At 38.7% G+C, this 20,893-nt stretch overlaps 1 protein-coding gene across 24 annotated transcripts in view; it reads right to left on the reverse strand.

Moving 5' to 3' along the window:
• Window positions 1-20,893, reverse strand: part of ASAP1 (ArfGAP with SH3 domain, ankyrin repeat and PH domain 1) — a 391,571-nt gene that overhangs the window by 153,337 nt on the left and 217,341 nt on the right. For all 24 annotated transcript variants that reach the window (XM_047421810.1, XM_047421806.1, XM_017013468.2 and 21 more), the window contains one exon: window positions 9,116-9,261. In XM_047421810.1, the coding sequence (XP_047277766.1) occupies window positions 9,116-9,261 (146 nt within the window). The remainder of the gene's footprint in view (window positions 1-9,115; window positions 9,262-20,893) is intronic.

Raw genomic sequence — 20,893 nt, forward strand, 5'->3', positions numbered from 1 at the left:
TAGGATACCTGTTTATTGGATGTATTTAAGACAAGGTATACCTGTATTGACAAACAGAAAATTCAAATAATCAGTTATGGTACAGATATACAATGAAACAGTATGCAGCCTGTTAGAGCAAATTTGCATATATATATATAAAATACACGGCTTTTTTTTTTTTTTTTTTAGCTTAAACTCACTTAATAGCAAAACCTGTTCTGACTCCATTTGGTTGGTAATCTCTTGACTAGACTTGAGGTGGGGCACCTAATAGTCTTTATATATCAGACTTCATGTGAATATTCAAGTTTCACTGCAGACACAAAACTGTGTTTAATTATAAGCATCTTCCCAAGAAGTCACTAGGGGGTGTGCTGCATAATATAAGGCATGTACACCCTGTCACCCTTCTGAAATCGGTAAAACTCTGAATTTTGAAACAAATCTAACCCCAAGGATTTTGGACCTGAATGAGATATATACCTATACCTGCAGATATCTATGCAAATCAGCAGTATCTCTGTGTACAAATCCATAAAATTGTTTCAAATACTACTCTTAAATATTAACAGAAGCTAGAATTATAATTTTTATTTTAAAATTTTCCATATATCTCAAATTTTTATAATAAATATGTATGATTTTTTAAATAGAAGGAGTTAAAAATAAACCTTTCCCTCTTACCCACCCACCAACCCACATGGATAGATCACATTTCACAAAATGTCCCACAGTATTAATTGGTAGTGAGGCAGTGAGGCATGTCAGGAAATAAGGGGATACCTGGTAGATCAAACGCTGAAAACTGCCAATGATTGATGACCATTTTTTTAAAAGATAAGGTTTTAAAAATGCATTATATAGTTCAGGGCACCCAGAAGCTACCAATTTTACCATTAGGCACATCCATGCTCTCCATACTTTTTAACATTTCAAAGAAGAACTTGAGAAATAATCTGCTGGCTACAAATCTAGATCCAACCTGTACATTATCAGATATTCTTATTTGAGGGGAAAGAAAAGAAGAAAAATAAAAAAAAAAACAACTTTAACACAAACCACAATACCCTACAGTCAGAGATTGCAAACAGGAAATGCTATGCAGATGGAGAAATCTTTGCTTTGCTTCAACAGCTCTGAAGCAATAACTGCCCTCCAACTGTTTAATGAGACTCAAGCTCTTATGCAAGCTATAGAATTGTCCAAAGGCCTCCGGAGAGAAGAAACCAGATGCATGGTGAGTCCTGGCTGACCTAGAATACTTCCGGGTGACTCCCACTATTTAAAAAATAATTTATATACATTTTCTAAAACCATTGCTGCCTTGGGACTTTCAAAGGGTATGGCATTTAAATGGTTTTCCTCTGTCCATTGAGAATCTATTTCAATCCACCAGTTATTCCTTTCCTGACCCATTTTGCGGTTTTGGTATTAAATGGATGCAAATCTCTGCTGACTCCTTAACTTCTTTGCTAGGATCACAGGAATGATGCCTGATGCCAGGAGTAGAGCAGACCCAGCATTGCTTAGCAAGTAATGATTTTATTGGTTTCCTTTTCATGGTTAAAAAAAAAAGGTTGAACGTAATTTTTCAGTACTATACATTTAATCAAACATATAACAAAACCACTTAGAAACAGCTAAAACTCAAGAGCATTCTGCTTCCTTTTTCTTTTTTTAAACAAGAAAGCTGCATTGCAAAGAAAGTCTTTATTATTAATACACTAACTACTAAGGGGCACTCAAAGTGGAAGGAATGGAATCTATAAAGGCATGGAAGCGTGAAATGGTATATATTCCATGAACAACAAATCGTTTGTTATGTCTGGAGTTGGCTTTGATTAGGAAGGCATCTTTAATGAGAGGAAGGATAAGTTTAGAGAGATTGCAAGGCAACTAAATAAATATTTAAAAAATGTTTTTAAAAATGTCATTATCTGTTAAGTACATGCTACGAACTGAATGCTTTCATAGGTATTTCACATAAATTATTTCTAAAAATGCCACCAGAATGGCAACTCCAAGAGGATACGGCCCTTGTCTGTGTTCTTCTTACTGCTGCATCCCTACAGCCTACCCACAGTGCTTATGTAGAACCCTAATAAGTAACAGAATGAATCATAAATGAACACAAGGAGGGATTACTAAACCCTTTTTACAAAAATGAAGAAACCAAGACTCAAAGAACTCAACAAGCCCACACAAGTAAGATGCTGAGTATTTTAATACAGGCCTCATTAAAAATCAAAACCCATGCACTTGTAAGTATGCCACAAATATAGTAAAAACAACAGCAATAGAATAGATCTTGTCCACATTTCTCTGGCTTCTCACCACTAAGAGGCAGCATTCCCTAGATATATTCAATCATGACAACTAGACTCACTTCTGGGAGGAAATAGCTAATCATTCCTACTTTTATGGAATAGCAACCACATATAGGACTTCAATTAGAGGAAGAAATTAGAAAACCTATTAAAGTGCGAAGGAAGCAGGACTGAGGACTGCAGATCAGTTGGCTCAAAGAGTATCAGGAAGTGAGTTTGATTTGTGTTCTGCACATTTGTTTTATGCTGAAATTTTTATGTAACAATGTATACTAAACACTTTCCCCTACTTTTCTCTCCTTGATAATAATTTGATAGGTTATACTTTTATTTAAACTTATTTTGAAAAAATTATAGACTCACCAAAAAATTGTAAAACTAGTAGAGAGGTCCCTTGTACCCATCAACCAGCTTCCCCCAATAGTAACATCTTATATATGTTAAACAGTACATTATCAAAACGAAAAAACAGACACTGGTGCAAGACAACTAGGCCACAGACTTTACTAGAATTCCCCCCATTTTTGCATGCATTCATTGTTTTGGTATGTCTTTGTGTATAGTTCTATGGCATTCTGTCACATGTATAGATAACTACAACAATCACCACCACCAAGTTATCAAACTGTTCCATCAATACAAAGCAACTCCCTCAGGTTACACTGCTGCTCCCTTTCCTAACCGCTGGTAACTACTGATCTGCTCTCCATCTTTGTAATTTTGGATGACTTTGACTTTAGTCATAAAAATACACAGATGGCAAGGTTATCTTATTTAAAGTCACTCTTTTAGGGAACTTTTTTTTTTTCACTTTAAGGCAATAAAAGCTTACAGGGGTATAAAGAACGTGGATGTAAAAGACAAAAGATCTTGCACGTACTTGGGTCATCTTCGATCATCTTCCTGCCCCAGTAGTTGGATTGCCATTCCGCAGATGTCACCGCATTGGCTCTCACAACTAGAAGGGGATGAGGCTGCAATGAGGATGAAGGCTGATCTGCCAATGATGAGGAATTCATTACATGGGGCTCTCGGATAAGTCATATTCTTTTGAACTTCTGAATCTATGACTTGACTCAACTTGGGAAAGTGTGTCTGCTCTAGTTCCAGTACTACATGAAATCTAGCAAATTCAAAATTGCTTAGAACATGTCATTTCATCTATTTGCCATCCCCCTAAAAAAAAAGAGGTACAGACAAAAGGACTAGAAAGATAAACTCCAAGTGTCAATTATAGTTATCTTTGATTAGGGGGAATATGAAAGAGAAATTGCAATTCCCCTGTAGGCATGTGTTCTTTTTATAATACAAAGTCCCCTATAGTGGCTATTAATACCATAGTAATACTAATATTAATGTAGCCTATTAATACTATAATAATCCAGTGTGTACAAAGGACTTTGCAGGTTACAATATTTTTCACATGAATGGTATGATTTGATCCCTACACAACCAATAAAGTATGCAGAAAAAGTACTTTCCCCATTCTACTAGTGAGGAAATTTACGTCTGTAAGTTAGGCAACATTAACCTACTTAACGGTAGGGTTGGAATCATAACAAAGCCTTCAATTTCTGACACCAGTGGTTCTCAAAGTATGGCGCCTAGGCCCCTAGAGGTTCCCAAGGTCCAAACTATTTTCACAATAATACTAAGAGGTTATCTGAATCTTTCACTGTGTTGACATTTGCACTGACAGTGTAAAAGCAACAGTGAGTAAAACAGCTGTTGTCTTAAGCATAAATCAAGGCACTGCTACAAACTAAAGTTACTGTATTCTTCATGGTCTTGCTCTTACAGTAAAAAAAAAAAAAAGAAAGGCTATTTTCATTTAAGAATACCCATAATGAAAAAGTAAAAATGGATTTTTATCACATCTTGACCCTCAAATGCATCTTTTCAATGTTCTGTTTGATGAAATAGGAAGTATGCATAAAGCCCTTTTTAGGCATACCAAAATATGATGGTTGTTTTGAGGAAAAGTACTTATGTAATTTTTTGAGTTGCAAGTTGAACTAACTGGCATTGTTTTTTTAGTGGAACACCTTTTTTTTTGAAAGAAAGACTAGCAAACTATGGTTATTCGGACTCCAGTATTTGCCAAACATTTTCTTGAAAATGAATGAAGTGAGCTTATCACCTCGAGGTAAACAACTGATAGCATTTATTGCTAATGATAAAAACAGAGCTTTCAGTGGAAGCTAAAATTTTGGAAAACTTGAATTTGCCACGAGCTGACAGTTTCCAAATAATGTTCATTTGCATGGTTTCAGATTCACACCGTTAATAACATTTAAGGAAGGACTACTTATGAAGTTTTTATGTAGTATCAAAGATTACCTGAAATGGCTCTTAAAATACTCTTCTCTTTTCCCAATACAGATCTGTATGAGGCCTTATTTCCCATCTACCTCAACTAAAACAATAAATTGCAACAAAATGAATACAGAAGTAGACATGAAAATATAGCTACCGTCTATTAAGTTGGCTTTAAAGGGATTTACAAAAATGTTAAACAATGCCACCCTTCTAATGTTTTTTGGTTTGAGAAAATAGTTATTTTTCCATAAAAATAGATTTTTAAAGTGGGTTTATTTTAAAATACATAATACACATGGAAAACGTCTCAGTTTTAATTTCTAAGACAGTAAATATGAATAGAAGTAGTCCACATAAACAGAAACCACATAGTGTCCTTAGTCATTTTTAAGACTGAGGTCCTAAAACCAAAAAGTTTGAGAACTACCATCTAACACTCTCACTCTTTCCAATATGCTATAACTCACCAATGAGAGAAATCAAAGGACAAAAACAACCAAGAAAGTACCTTGCACGCTAAACACACACATTAGTTTAATTATCACCAGGACAGGCCCTGGTCATTGTGTCAGGTGGGCCTTTACCATCCACATAATCCATCAAGGCAATGTAATTCGTGGGGCAGCATCACTGAAACAAGGCATAATCTGTAGCCACAGGGCTTGAGCTCAATCCCTAATTGCACCATTTTGCAGGTATATATTTTTTGAAGATTTGGTGCATCTATCTCTAAAATGGGATATGACTGATAGCTGTCTTTACACTGAGTTACCTTAAAAATAAAATGAGAAGATGTAAATAACAATTAAGGTTTGTATTTGTGAAACAAATTTTTTGTCAGGTATTATGCTTAGTGACTTGCTTCTCTGACCTCAATGAAACCCTGCCACTACCAAGAAACAGTCACTCTTATTTATTTTTAGAGACAAGGAAACTAGCATTAGAAAAGTTAAGTGAATTGCCAAAGGCTATAAAGCTGGTGAGGCGGAAACTAGGATTCCAGGTGTGATTGGGACCAAAACCCATGATCCTCCAACCACCTATGCTTCATAGCCTCTCGAATCCTATGTTACAAGGTAGAAAAACTTTTTATAGGAACAATTTTCTATAATGTGGAGGAGGGGGGAGTAAGAAAAGCAAGTTACTTTAAAACTGACTTGGTGCATCAACTGCGGTATGGGCTCACAGAGTAATCAGCTGTAAGTGCAATCCTTTTCGCAGTCCTCAGACGTATGGTTAATTAAAAACAGCCTCAGCCCTATGCACTGTTAATGCCAACATCTTTGTAGGTAGCCCTTGGGAGTTTTCACATAACATCTCACTTGATCGTACTTTCTATAATCACAGACAGTTCAGAAAAAGGAAAAAAACCCGAAGCATCTCAATGATGGTTGAGATAGTTACCATCATTTAGTGCACTGATATTTTTTAAGACCACTGCCCCAGAAACTGATAAACACAATACACCTGCAATAGTGATTTCTTACATCGAACAAATAACAAATGTTTTTCTCATCCAGAGTTAGTCAAAAGCTGAAAGCTAGTATGAGACCTGGCCCGCAAATCTATCCTTTCCTTTTTCTCCATAAAAATAAGTAATGATTTAGTATAAACTATTAAAATACTCTTCAAAGGCAATACTTAATTAGAAAATGACATTTTTTAGTATTTAGCATAGACCTTCGAACATAATAGACTTTTGGTACTTGCTGGTTGAACTGGGAATACAATTTACAAAGTCTATAAAGTACCAAAGCACCTTCTCTTTAATTTCTACTGTATCAGTTTGCTTAACGTTTCTGGCCTTCACTAGCCTAAGAGAACAGGATTTTTGGGAATCTTCTGAGAAGTATGGGTTCCCACGGGGGTACTCCTGAGCCCCAGGAGGGTGTTGAGTGCTGCTCAGCTGGGGGCTGCAGGTGCTGCACGAAGATCCAGAACCCTGACCCCCTCGGGGTGAGTTGGCTTTCTGGGAGCCCTCTAATCCAAGGTGTGGCCCTATCAATCTGTCTAGTTTGCTCTTCCCTTTCCAGGAAAAGCATAAAAAGGGAAGCAGAAAGTTGCTGGCTGTTGTCAAGTTGTGTAAACTCCTGGGACTGCCTTTTATTCAATCAGAATAATGTTTTCTTAGTAACCAAACTACAGTAGAAACTGATTCTTCTACTTGGCTCCCTCACCAGGAATGCCACCACCACTTTCAAAGGCAAAATTTGTTTTCCTTTACTAAATGAATTAGGTTTTCCAGCAATTTCCTTTAGATTTTTCTTAGACTTCTACTCCTTAAAGGGGAGTGGGTGTGGAAAAAGGGCTGTAGCTTGAGGTATGTATATGGGAGTAGCTTGATCAGTACTTCTGCTGAGGGAAACAGCACAACCAGAGCATGAGGTGACAGAGGCAGGATATTGTAGAAGAGCAAAGGCAACGGGTTCAGAGACAGAATGTTTGGGTTCAAGTCTGTAACACATACTAATAGGGTAAATGAACAAGTTATATATCTCAATTTGCCTCAGTTTCCTCATCTGGATTAAAGGTACAGTAACCACAGGATTGTTGTAATGTCTTCAATGAAATAATCTACATAACACACCCACCAAACTGCCAGGTTCATCAAAAACATTCAATAAATCTCAGATGGTTTTGTATGGAGACAAACAAATGTATTAGGTGAGCAAACGCAGATGATGAATGTTGGCCTGAATGGCCACTGAGCTGTGTGTATGGCACATATACACACAGTTGAAAGGAACCTGCAGCGTAGCAAACCGTAGAGATGAGATTGGTCCAGGAACCTTGGAGGTGATGACTCTTGACTTAAGCCAATACATTTGGTCCTTGGAAACTAAAGCAAGACATCAATGCGAAAACACCCATCTCAGAGAAAACAGATCTTCCTGCCCAAGCAAGTCCTTTACCAGCTATTACCAAAGTGAACTGTCAGTCTTGTTTTGCTTCCTCTCTTTCTACCACACCACACTTTGAGCAAGGCCTCCAGTGAAAGTGCAGGCAATGCTCAGAGTGAAGGAAAACCGAGGGTGCTCTTCTGAATAAATGAGGTTTATATAATCTAAGATTTACAAAAACATGGATTTGTTAAATCCAAAAGCACAGAAACATTAGAGCCAAAGTTCAAAATTATCCTTTCCGAAGTTTTTGAAAATAATAAATAATTCTATGTTCGATATTTATTTTCTTTCAGATTTGCTTATTCGCTGTGTAAGATTAATTCAATGGCATACATCGCCAATTAGAAAAACTGTCAGGAAGACAGACACATACACACGTTTATTTATTGTGACAGAGAAAAAGAATATTGTAACTGGCCAAATAGGTTAATGGAGTGTAGAAAGGTAGTTTTCATTTTTCAAATAGGTTATCTTCATCTGTAAACTAACCTTTTGTATCTAATGGATTATGACAAATTATCACCTAAGGCCACAGAAGCCTATGTGATACATGAATAACTGACCTAGGTTAAGGACATCTTGAGAATGAGTTCTGGATCCTTAAAGGAGGTAAAAGCACAATACCAAGAGACTGGGAGAGAAGAGGGAACAGCTCCTCTTCTCCAGGGCAGGGCTAACTTGGAAAAGCATGATATAAATAGTTTTCCTTTGGCACCTTTCAACCTCATTGTACTCCTTTCTCTGGGGACTTAGGAGGATTAAATTATTTCACTGGGTGGCTCTTAGAGAAATAATTTCATCCCCCAAAACCAACAAAATCCAAATGATCCGTCCAGGTGGTGTTACCCAGAACCTTTCTAAGTGTGCACATGGTATGAGGGCTGGGGAGGGGGTTGCAGCACAACATGGGGATGCCCACACACGACTGCCTGGCAAACAGTTTCCTCCACCACCCCCATCCCTGGGTCTGCCTCCCGGGGCCAGCACCTCTAGTGTCTCAGATCGTTAGGGATTCTTCCTGTCATTTACTTTGGAAACCAGAGATTCCTTAAATCTCAAAACCCTTTTCTTGGTTGGGGGTTAAAAGGATGTGGGGAGTTGAGGGAGGTTCATTATTTATATATCAGAAACCAAAATGCATGATCACCTTCACACAAGTGAGATATAATACTTTCAATGTGTATTTCCAATGTATGTTCGACACAGAAATCATCATTCTTTTAGCCAATTAAAAAGCAAAAGTTGCTAAAGGTTATCTTTAAAAAAAAATCAATGGTAGAGATGTGGAAGAGAATTCAGGTTAAGCAGTTTCTCTCTCAGCTTCGATAAATCTACTCTATCAGCTGGGCCAAAGGTACAAATTCCAGGAATTTCACAATGGGATTTTCTTTAAGCAAATCCTAGGCGACTAAAAAGCTTTTTAGTTGAGGTGTGGAAGTTACCTAGGACTAAAAAGCTTTTTGTTTTTTCTTTCTCACCCCTAGGACCAAGGATTGAGGGGGAAGGATTATTGAAATGTTCTCTATATGACGTAATATTTTGGAAAGGCTGTAATTCTTTTTACTCACATATGAAATGTCTTACCAGATTTTTCAGCAGTGTGGACAGTTCCTTTGTAAGAGTAGAAAACTTGACAAACGCGGTGCCAAGGTCGGGGTTGTCTCGACTTAAAAAATTACTCCCAAACTTATCAAGAACTTGTGCATAGTTTTCTTCATTTTGTACATGATCTAAAAACAAAAAAGAAGAAGAAAGGAGTCTGAACTATTATTTGCCACAATGAAAAGTTACTTTGAACACCGATCACTACGAATTCTCAAAATGGAAGCATAAACTGTATCAATTATTTATTGCACATGTCCCAAAGGTTAGGTTAGGAGTACACTAAATATTCTAACTCACTCTACTAAGGAAGATTTTCCCTTTTATCTTTTTTTCTTTTTTTTTGAGACAGAGTCTCACTCTGTCTCCCAGGCTGGAGTGCAATGGCACAATCTCGGCTCACTGCACCCTCCGCCTCCCAGGATCAAGTGATTCTCCTGCCTCAGCCTCTTGAGTAGCTGGGATTAAAGATGCATGCCACCATGCCCGGCTAATTTTTTGTATTTTTAGTAGAGACAGGGTTTCACCAAGTTGGTGAGGCTGGTCTCAAACTCCTGACCTTGTGATCCGCCCACCTCGGCCTCCAAAAGTGCTGGGATTACAGGTGTGAGCCACCGCACCTCGCCTTTCCCTTTTTCTTTCATAGAATTTAGCTCATTTATAGTCCAGTTAATCCACTAATTCCTCATAGGCTGAGGGGTCAAATTACATCACATTTTCAAGCAATTAAGAAACTATGATTGACTGGGTATGGTGGCTCACGCCTGTAATCCTAGAACTTTGGGAGGCTAACGTAGGCAGGTCGCTTGAGCCCAGGAGTTCAAGACCAGCCTGGGCAACATGGCGAGACCCCGTCTCTACAAAAAATTAACAATTAGCTGGGTGTAGGGCCGGGAGCGGTGGCTCACGCCTATAATCCCAGCACTTTGGGAGGCCAAGGCGGGCCGATCACGAGGTCAGGAGATCGAGACCATCCTGACTAACACGGTGAAACCCCATCTCTACTAAAAATACAAAAAAGTTAGCCAGGTGTAGTAGCGGGTGCCTGTAATCCCAGCTACTCGGGAGGCGGAGGCAGGAGAATGGTGTGAACCTGGGAGGCGGAGCTTGCAGTGAGCCGAGACCGCGTCACTGCACTCCAGCCTGAGCAACAGAGTGAGACTCTGTCTCAAAACAACAACAACAACAACAACAAAAAACAATTAGCTGGGTATTGTGGCATGCACCTGTGGTCTCAGCTACTTGGGAGGCTGAGGCAGGAGGACTGCTGGAGACTGGGAAGTCGAGGCTACAGTGAGCTGTGCTTGTGCCACTGCACCCAGCCTGGGTGATAGAATGAGACCCTATCTCCAAAAAAAAAGAAAGAAAGGAAAGGGGAAAGGGGAAAGAAAAAGAAAAAGAAAAAGGAAAGGAAAGGAAAGGAAAGGAAAGGAAAGGAAAGGAAAAAGGAAAGGAAAGGAAAAAGGAAAGGAAAAGAAAGAAAAGGAAAAAGGAAAGGAAAGGGAAAAGGAAGAAAGAAACTATGATTACCTGAAAAAGTAGAAAATTCTCCTTGGAAAAACAATCTTGGATTGCAAAAGAAAAATTCATGTGTCCTAACAGGTTTCTTTCCCTGCAACTAATCTTCATTTCCTTTAATTTTGTCTAAGTTCCAGGTCTGAGGAATAGTATTTGTAAAATGCTTTTCACAGTCCAGCTCTTGCTGCAAAATGTTCAGAATTGGATCAGATGAATTAGGTGCACATGAGAAACATTAATTTGTGAAAATTTCTCCTCCCTGAGCTTTTGTTTTCCAATCCATAAAATGAGTCCAATATCTAACTTACAGAATTGTGGTATTGATGAGCTGACATAAAGTATATAAAAGTTTCTCAGTAGAGCAAATACTGCATAAACAATAACCCCCACTGCCTTGAAACATGTTCTTTGTCTGGCTTCCAGGATATCACACTTTCTTGAGTGTCCTCTTGCCTCACGACTGGTCCTCTCCATTGTCTTTGCTGGTTCTTCATCTCTCTGACCTCATCATGTTGAGGCCCCTCAGTCTTGGACCTTTCTTCTCTATTTTTGCTTACTCTCTTGGGATCTCAGTCTTACGGCTTTAAATACTTTCTATCAGCTGATAACTCCTAAATTGATATCCCCAGCCCAGAAAAACCCACCCTCTGTAATACAGACATATATTCAACTACCTATTCAGTATCTCCACTAACTATGTTGAATCTTAACATGTCTAAAACCAAACTCTTGATCTTCTTCCCATTCTTTTTCTCACAGTCCCCTATCTGTGGCAATGGCAAATACACTCTGCTTCTGAAATGGTCTCTCTGTTGCTACTTTTGCCTCCCAGCAGTCTGGTACCAACACAGCATCCAATGCAACACTGTTATACTGTGCATCAGATCTTGTGACTCTTGTGGCAGACATTACCACTTGCCATGGATATCCAAGTTCCCAATCCTTGCAGGGTTACAGAAAGGAGTACTGCATTTCCCCATACTCTCAAAGTAAGGCAGGAAATATGGCATGCACCATCCAAGGCCATGTGAGTGGAAGTGATGCATACCACGTTCTCTTGGAAGCATTTCAGATGCCTGTACTCAACTCTCCACCTCCCTCCTCTGTTGTGGCGCACAGAGAAGCATGAATTTGTAGGGAGGCCCACAGTAGATGCATAGTATTTACATAATGAATAAATGAATAAATAGATATTTATCAAAGTCATATCTTTTTTTTTGGTTTTTTTTGGTCATATTTTTAAAGGCTTTACAATAAATTACTTTTCTTTATAAAGTCTTCCTTTAGTTGGAAACAATCCTTCCTTGCCCACAATTCTCTGTACCTCTACTGCAGTATTTTCTACCACATCCTATATGTGTATATATGTATATATACACGTATATATACACACGTATATATGTATATTATATGTGTATATATGTGTATATATGTGTGTATATATGTACACACACACACACACACACACAGATCTTTTCCTACCACCAGACCGCAAGAGGCAGGGATTACCTATGGTTCACTTCTGCATCCCTACCCAATGGACACTGCTGTAGTTCTTTCAGTGAGCTGGACTTTCAAAGCTGCGGCTTGGTTAATATTTGTTGACCTGGATTTATTGAATTCCTTTTCAGGAATTTAAGAAGCATCCCTTTCTGAAATAGCGTAGGATGTTCAATAACTGAGATCAAATTTTTAAATTCTGCTTTCAAACACACCTCAATAAGTGCATGGGTGCAATGGGCACTCATGAAACAGAACATGAGTCTGGATTGGGAAATAACCCAGGAAGTCTAAATACCATGAAGGAAACAAGTGTCACAGCAGTCCAATGAAACGAAATGAGGCCCTAGCCAGCCTTCTAATCACCACCACATTAAAAATTCATGGTGCCTGCAGTGGTTGTCAGCATCTCAGGCTGAGATATTAAAAAATGCAGCTCTGGTTACTATCCAAGTTCACTCAGAGGAGCGGCTCAGAAAAACAGAAAAGAAAGGCCACACGAGCTCAACCGAGAAGACACACAGGTTTCATCTCCCTCATGTGCTGGAGCTACTCCTGATACCTTCTGTCTGAGGCCAAAGAGGTCCCACCTTACCACCAAGACTCCTACCTCATCTGATATCCTTTTCTGATTTTGGAGACCTATGAAAAAAGAATTCAGCTGTGTGTTCATTTTACCTGCTCCCAAGGGAAGCACCTCAGTAGTAAAAATAGGTATATAGGCTGCTTTCTTGAGACTATCAAATATTTCAAGTGAAAAATATAATTAGTTAATCGAATATACATGTATGCGCCACCCAGCTTAATAAATAAAATATTAAAGAATGATTCCCTATTCCCCTACTCCTGTCCCTCTACCCAATTCCGATCTCCTTCCTTCCCTCCCTAGACACAGCCATTATCCTGAATTGAAATTTCATGCAAAGGTTAGAAAGAATTACAAGAAGCTCTCCATCTATCTGTGATGACAGACTCATTAAAGAATAAGATGGAGTTGGCTAAAGGCTAAGGCAGAGACAGGCCATAGGAAGAAGGTGTTGGGAGAAGCTCAGAACCTTCTGTGACCCAAATCCTTATGCTTTCTACAATCTCATATTTCACCCCCACTAGTTCTGCAAGGGAAGAATTATGCTTATTAGGTAGATGAAACATGAAATGTGACGTGAGTGAGGCAGAAGACTAGATAAGTATAGGCTAGGTCATGGGTCCTGTATGTTTTGCTAATTCCACAGCTGAATAACCATGTAGTCTCTTTCCATATATATATATATATGCATATGTATGTATGTATGTGTGTATATACTGGCATATATGTCTCACATATATATACATGTCTCACATATATATGTGTATATATATAATTTCCTAGCATAAAAATATAACAGTTTAGTAAGATATATCTTGGGGTAATAATAACAATAATAATCATAATCCTATGAAAATAGAATGATAGAAAATTAAATGTAAGGTGCTTAAAATAGTGTCTGGCATGTGGCATGTGCCCCAAAATGTCAGCTACTGTTACCGCTATATATCCATGACTACTTACAATACAGAGCGATGTCTGTAATATCAAACAGAATAAAAACACAGGTCTCACATGTCTTTTTTTTTTTTAACATACTGTATTATAAAGTTAGTAAAGTCAATACTAGAAAGATCACACACATGTCCCCTAACACACACACACTTGTGTACAAAATTAAGGGTTTACCCAGCAGACTTTCAACAGGCACAGAGAGTGAGACAGCAAAGAACCATGATTCTGGTGGAGGAAATAGCAAGGGCAACGGCAGAAGGGAGGAACACACTGCAGAGTACAGTAAGCCATCTGAGGGGAATGTCAGTTCAGAGGTATAGGGAAGAGGAGGGAAAGAAGGCTGCGGTGGTGGGACACTGCCACAGGAATGAGTGTTTCTGAAGGAGACGGACTGATAAGGCAGAAAATGGCCCACTCACTTCAAGAGGTTTCAGAGAGCAGGATGCAGCTCTGTTTTAAGATCTTTACTACATGCGAGTGCTAGAAGACTTTTGGGCACATAGTACAGTGGGAGTTAGGGTAAGTAGGTGAGAAAAGAAGACTGGATAAAAGAAAAGAACAGAGAAATGTGATCCATCCGTTAAGAAGACACATTCTTTCCCAATATTCCTAAGAAACTTCTGGCATCCACGACATTGTTGCAGAAGGCAAGATAATTGTTTTGTTGCTGATGTTGAGACAAGGTCTTGCTATTGTAGACCTGCGTGGAGTGCAGTGGCATGAACATGGCTCACTGCAGCCTCAACCTACTGGGCTCAAGTAATCCTCCCAACTCAGCCTCTGAAGTAGCTGGGACTACAGGCACATGCCATCATGACCGGCTAATTTTTAATTTTTTGTAGAGATGGGGTCTTGCCATGTTGCCCAGGCTCGTCTCCAACTCCTGGGCTCATGTGTTCCTCCCACATTGGCCACCCAAAGTGCTAGGATTTACAGGTGTAAGCCACCACGCCTGGCCTGCAAGATAATTCTAACAGCTAGGTGAATCCTTTCAGTTCAAACAAGAATGAAATAATATGAGAATGAAATCTGGTCTAGTTTTAAAAACTAGACCAGAAAAGGCCACTTCATCACGATTTCAACTGCCAGCATTTCTGTGGGGAAATGACTAATATAAACTAATCACTGATTTACTACTCTAGTATTACTATTCCAGTAATAATCGTTACAATAGCTAGTTTGTTGGGTATTGACTAAATGTTATTGTATTAAGCACTTTACATACAGTACATTACTTCATTCACTCTTACTAACAGTCCATGAGATAAGTACTATTACCATCCTCACTGTGTAGATATAAACACTTACCCTTGATCATACAACTCATAAATAAGGAAATTTAAATTAGAATATGCCACCCCAAAACAAGCCACTTCGGCATAACAATTATTTTGAGCTTAAAGCAATTAAGAAACAGCAAGGTGGCTGGGTGCAGTGGTTCATACCTGTAATCCCAGTACTTTGGGAGGCTGAGGTGGGCAGATGGCTTGAGCCTAGGAGTTTGAGACCAGCGTGGGCAACATGGTAAAACCCCACTGTATTAGTCCGTTCTCACACTGCTAATAAAAGACATACCTGAGGCTGGGTAATTTATTTAAAAAAGAGGTTTAATTGACTCAGTTCAGCCATGGCTGAGGAGGGCCTCAGGAAACTTAGAGTCATGGTGGAAGGGGAAGCAAACACATCCTTCTTCACATGGTAACGGCAAGGAGAAGTATGAGTAAAGTGCAGAGTGAAGGAAGGAAAAACTCCCCACAAAACCATCAGATCTTGTGAGAACTCAGTCACTATGATGAGAACAGCATGGGGGAACCACCCCCATGATTCAATAACTTCCTATGAGGTCCCTCCCCCAACATGTGGGGATTACAATTCAGATTACAATTCAAGATGAGATTTGGGTGGGAACACAGAGCCAGACCATATCACCGGTCTCTACCAAAAATACGAAAATTAGCCAGGCACTGTGGTATGAGCCTGTGGTCCCAGCTACTTGTGAGGCTGAGGCAGGAGGCTTGCTGGAGCCTGGGAAGTTGAGGCTGCAGTGAGTGGTGATAGTGCCGCTACTCTCCAGCCTGGGTGACAGAGTGAGACCTTGAACAAAGAAAAGAGGAAGAAAGGAAAGAAAAGAAAGAAAGAGAAGGAAGGAAGAAGGGAGAGGAGGATGGAAGTAAAGGAAAGGAAGAACATTTTCTGCCTAAAAGCAAGGCATAAATCTCCCTTTGTGAAAGTGTTTCCCCTACCTCCTTTCTAGGAAGAGGAGAAAAACTGTTGTCACAAGAGATGAAATGTCAGTACCAAGATGAGTCTGCATAAATAAACCTTGTTAAAATAATCCCTATCATCTATTTGTTTCCCCCTTATATTTATCTTCCCTATAATTTACTGCCCTATAATTCCTAGAAGTCTCCTTTTCTCTGTCTTGTCACTTCTCCACAATTTTCTGCTCTTTGCTAAAATGGTATATAAGCTCCTAGGCCTAGCTGCTTCTTTGGGGTTTTTCATTTCTTTTCCGTGAGGCCCCTTATGTCCATACTAAATAAGCCTTTTCTCCTGTTAATTTGTCTTTTGTCCATATAATTTGCAGATGTCAGCCACTGAACCTTACAGGGTACCCTCCTCTATACTCCATATCCTAAAGTAGGACAGGCCTAGGTTCAAATCTCAAGTCTATCATTTACTGTCTGTGTGGTACCTTGGTCAAGCAGCTTTATCTTTCTAAACCTCATCCTCCCCATCTGGAAAATGGAAATTATAATGGCATTTACCTCACAGAGATGTTATTAAATTTAAGCAAGATACTGCATGCCAAGTGCCTCGTACACGATGAGCTCAATAAATATTTATAATGGCAATGACACAATGATGACAACCATACCAACTATCCATCCTTGGCCACTGCATTGGAGCCAGCCTTTTACCCCGTGGACAGGAAGCAGAAGCTTCAGACAACGCTGAAGAGTTTATATCCCTAGGCGTTGGCAATAACAAGTACCTTAGGAATACATTAAAATTCAATACTCTTTAAACATACTTTGTATATTCATCCAATGAGGCCTTCCTCAAAACTTTCAGAACCACAGCAATTATTAAATAGGTCTCTCCCTGAGGGGTTTATCTAACTGACACTATGTGTTATACCTTACCAAACTGGGCAATATTCACAAAACCTCTGGACTGGACTGCCTGCCAACCTAACCTTTGATTCTCAGCGACTCTAATTATGGCTGCTACTTATTAAGCACTGACTAAGTAGAGGGATTCAATCACAGTGAATATCCTGAAACTCATGCGATACTCCCTCAAGGCAGTTGCTTTATAGATAAGAAAAATGAAACTCAGTGGTGAAGAAAGGATTAGATCCCACTTCATTTGATTCCAAATCCTATCCTTCTCCACTGACACACTCAGGAAAGACTATCGTGGATACTAGAATATTGTGTGCCACAATATCTATTCAGAATCCACTATGTGAAAGACTTGATGACAAATACCAGGAACAAAAAGGTGAATAAGACAAGACTTCCTGTCCTGTAATAATATTGACAAAGTAATAATAATAATAATTTGCAATCACAAGTTTTGATTAATGTGCCAAGAACTGTGCTAAGTATTTCTCCTGCATTATCTCGTTCAGTGTTCACAATTTAGAAACTGGTTTAGAGTAGTTAAGCAAGTTGCTCAATGTCATACAGCTAAGAAGCAGTAGTGACAGGCACTGACCCCAAAGCCTGTGCTCCTAACTAGTGTACTTGGTAAAGTGCAGGAGCCTCTAGAAGTCTTTTAACTTTAGCCAGATGCCAAGTGATTGAGAAACCTGAAAATCCAGGTCTTAGCTCCAGACTCTACCATGTCAGGAGACTGAAGCTCCTAGGGGCCTTAATTTCTTCATATATAAAACAGGTCTAATAACATCTGCCCTGCTGATTGGCCACTAAGAGGTAAAGGTGTCATAATTAATATAAAAGCTCTTTTGGAAAAATGCAAAAAAATTATAAAACCACAAAGGATTATTTCTACTTAATGGGTATAATAAGGCCTTGAGAACACTCTCATAAATCCATCCTGAGGAGCATTCCAAACCACAACCAAGCACAACCTAGACAACATTTGGTGAAAGATCACACAGAACACAGGCCTCAGTGACACAGAGACTTGGGTCTGAATCCCCACTCTGGTTCTAACTGGGCATATATAACCTTGGAAATGGCACTTAACTTATGTGGGCCTCAACTTCATACGTGAAATGGGACAATGCCTATAAGGAACATGGAATGAGTCTAAAAATACCTTTACTTCTATTAATTTCATTTACTCCAAAATTCAGAGCTGAAGTTCTGATGCTAATGGATGCTAATTTAAACATGGTATTTTTTGGAGGATTCCAGGATATATAAGATGACTGTGGATCAAATTCCAGGTTTTCTGTTTATAAACTGTGATCTAGGGCAATTTATACATCATCTCAGACTCTTGTCTTCTTAGCCATAGTAATACCTACTTGATGGGGTTATTAAAGGAAATAGATGAGAAAGACTATGAAGTGCCTCATCTAGTATCTGGTATACAGTGGGTGTTTATAAAATGCTAAGTACCATCCCACACTCCAGAGTCTCACTTCCTTAATTTCCCATACTCTTTCCTGGGAGCCTAGCCTCTCTTCCAAGGTCTTTATGCAAGTTCTCCTTCTGTGTCAAGAGTCCAGAGGAACACATGATAAACATTTGTTTATCATCTTATCTTCATGAACGAAGAAAAATCTTCCAGAGGATAGCTGGGATACACGCATTATTACACTCCAGTCATAAAACCTATCCAAAGTTCTCCTGTCTGTAAGTTCCATCACAATTTCAGGATTCACCCTGACTCTTTCAATGTAAGTGTAACCTACCAAGCATCCTGTTTTTCACTCTCTTCTTAGCCTCTTGCCAAGGTGGGGGTCCCAGCTTTACATACTTTGTTATACGCCCAGTTCCCAGTGCTGAGCCTGGCACATAGTGAATGCTCAGTAAAATGCTCACTGCATGTAGTGGATTCTCCTAGAACAAGTCTTTTTCCTTCTTTCAAAAAATACTTACCAGCAGCCATGTGCCAGCCATATAAAATACAGTGAGCTATAATGTAATAATAAAGCCATGTAATATGTGACATAAATCATAGCACTGCCATAAAAGGGGAAGTGACAAATTCTTTTTATATTATCCTATGCATACTTTGTAGCACTAATCACACTTATAAAATATTTAATTCTATTTGTTTTTAAAATTATATAAGTAATTCATATGCTATTACAGAGAAATATAAAGATAAAATTATAATTTCCTTTCCCTTTTTCCAATCCCACCTCCTTAAGATAAGCAAAGTTAATAATCTGGAGTGTATCTCAGTGAAACCTTAGGATTAAAAAAGATATACACACACATACAGACACACAAATATAGGTGTTTTCACCCCTTTCTCCCTTTTAAAAAAAATAAATGGGATATTACATACGACCACCATGGCTTGCTTTTTTCCTATGGAATAAAAATCATGAAATTTAATATAAGTAAATCTAATTATTTTAACTGGGATATGTTCCATAATAAATACGCCTGCTGAAAGGATACTAGGTTTTCTGCAGCTTTTGCCATCAAAACACAATGCTACAATAAATACTCTTATACACAAGCTCTTACACGCTGTTACTTTATCTCTGGAAAAATATCTTCACAAAAGCAGGACTGCTGGGGGATAGTGTGTACATTTCAAGTTTTAGTTAATATTGCCACATTCTTTCCAGAGAAGCTGGTTAAAGCAATTCACATTCCCAACAGCAATGCACATATAAAAGGGGCTAATTCTCTTCAACCATATCAGCACATAGATGTTACTGTTCTTTTTTAATTCTGGCCACATGTGTATAAAAAACTGCCTATAGTAAGCCTATCTTTTTGCATTTTATTGTCCATTAACATTTCCTTTTCTGCCTGTTTACATATTTAGCCCTGTTTTCCAATGCTAGTATTTTTCCTATCAGTTTGTAAGAATGTCTTGTACAAGGGATAGAAACTTTTATAATATGTGTTGCAAATATTTCTTCCACTTGTCTTGTAACTTGTTAGTGGTGTCCTTTGCCATGGAGAAATTTAAAAATGTCATGTAGTCATATATATCAATCTGTATGCAAAAGACTTTTTTGGGTTTCCGGCCTTATGTTCCTAAGCCTTCTAATATTTAGTATTTTTAAAAACCCTTAACCTTTAACCCAAAACAATGTATTTGTTTATATAGCACAGGAAAGGGTTCGTTAAAGTAAGTTATTAAACTTTTTAAAGTTTTATTCACTTCAATATTTAAATACGTAATACATCTGCAATGAAATTATCTATATGGCATGAGGAGGAGTTCTAACTTTTTTTTCTTTCTTCTGTATGAAAACATACTGCTATTTCAGATGGCCTATAGAAGGCAACTATTTAATATTTGATAAAAAAAGAACACACAGACAACACTTGGATGGAGTGGGTTAGGTTTCATAAGAGAAGATAATTGAGCAGAAACTTGAAAAATGAATAGTTGTTTAACAAGTAGACTTGGGGTGTGGACATTCAAGGCAAGAGGTAGCAGCATACCATACAGGCACCATAAAGTACTCAGCAATAAGGAAGTCAGTGTTTGCTTAGGTGGGCTGAGATACACAGAAACTAATATGGAGCCTTTGGTTGCTCCAGAGCTTACCACCTTCAATCTAGAGCTAGGTAGATTAAGATTTTGTTTTGTTTTGAGACAGGGTCTTGCTCTGTTGCCCAGGCTGTAATGCCGCGGCATGGTCATAGCTTGCTGTAGCCTCGATCTCCTGGCTCAAGTGATATTCCCACTTCAGTCTCTCCCTAGTAGCTGGGACTATAGGAATGCACTACCATGCTTGGCTTTTTTTTTTTTTTTTAAGAGATGGGGCCCTACTATGCTGCCCAGGCTAGTCTCAAAATCCAGCCCTCAGGCAATTCTCTCGCCTCAGCCTCCCAAAGTGCTGTGATTAACGTTTTAAAAGCACTGCCCTCTGTTCCTGTTCATCATCAGATAGTGGCTCAGATCCTTTTTGCCACCAATCCAAAAACTTAGTGCCACCTGTCCTGTGACCCGGAAAATAATTTGTTTTAACTTTACAGACACCATATTATTGGGGAATGAGGGCTGGATTTGGGGTCTAAACTCTTTAT

The sequence above is a fragment of the Homo sapiens genome, chromosome 8 (assembly GCF_000001405.40).
Source record: "Homo sapiens chromosome 8, GRCh38.p14 Primary Assembly".
Taxonomy (NCBI): domain Eukaryota; kingdom Metazoa; phylum Chordata; class Mammalia; order Primates; family Hominidae; genus Homo; species Homo sapiens.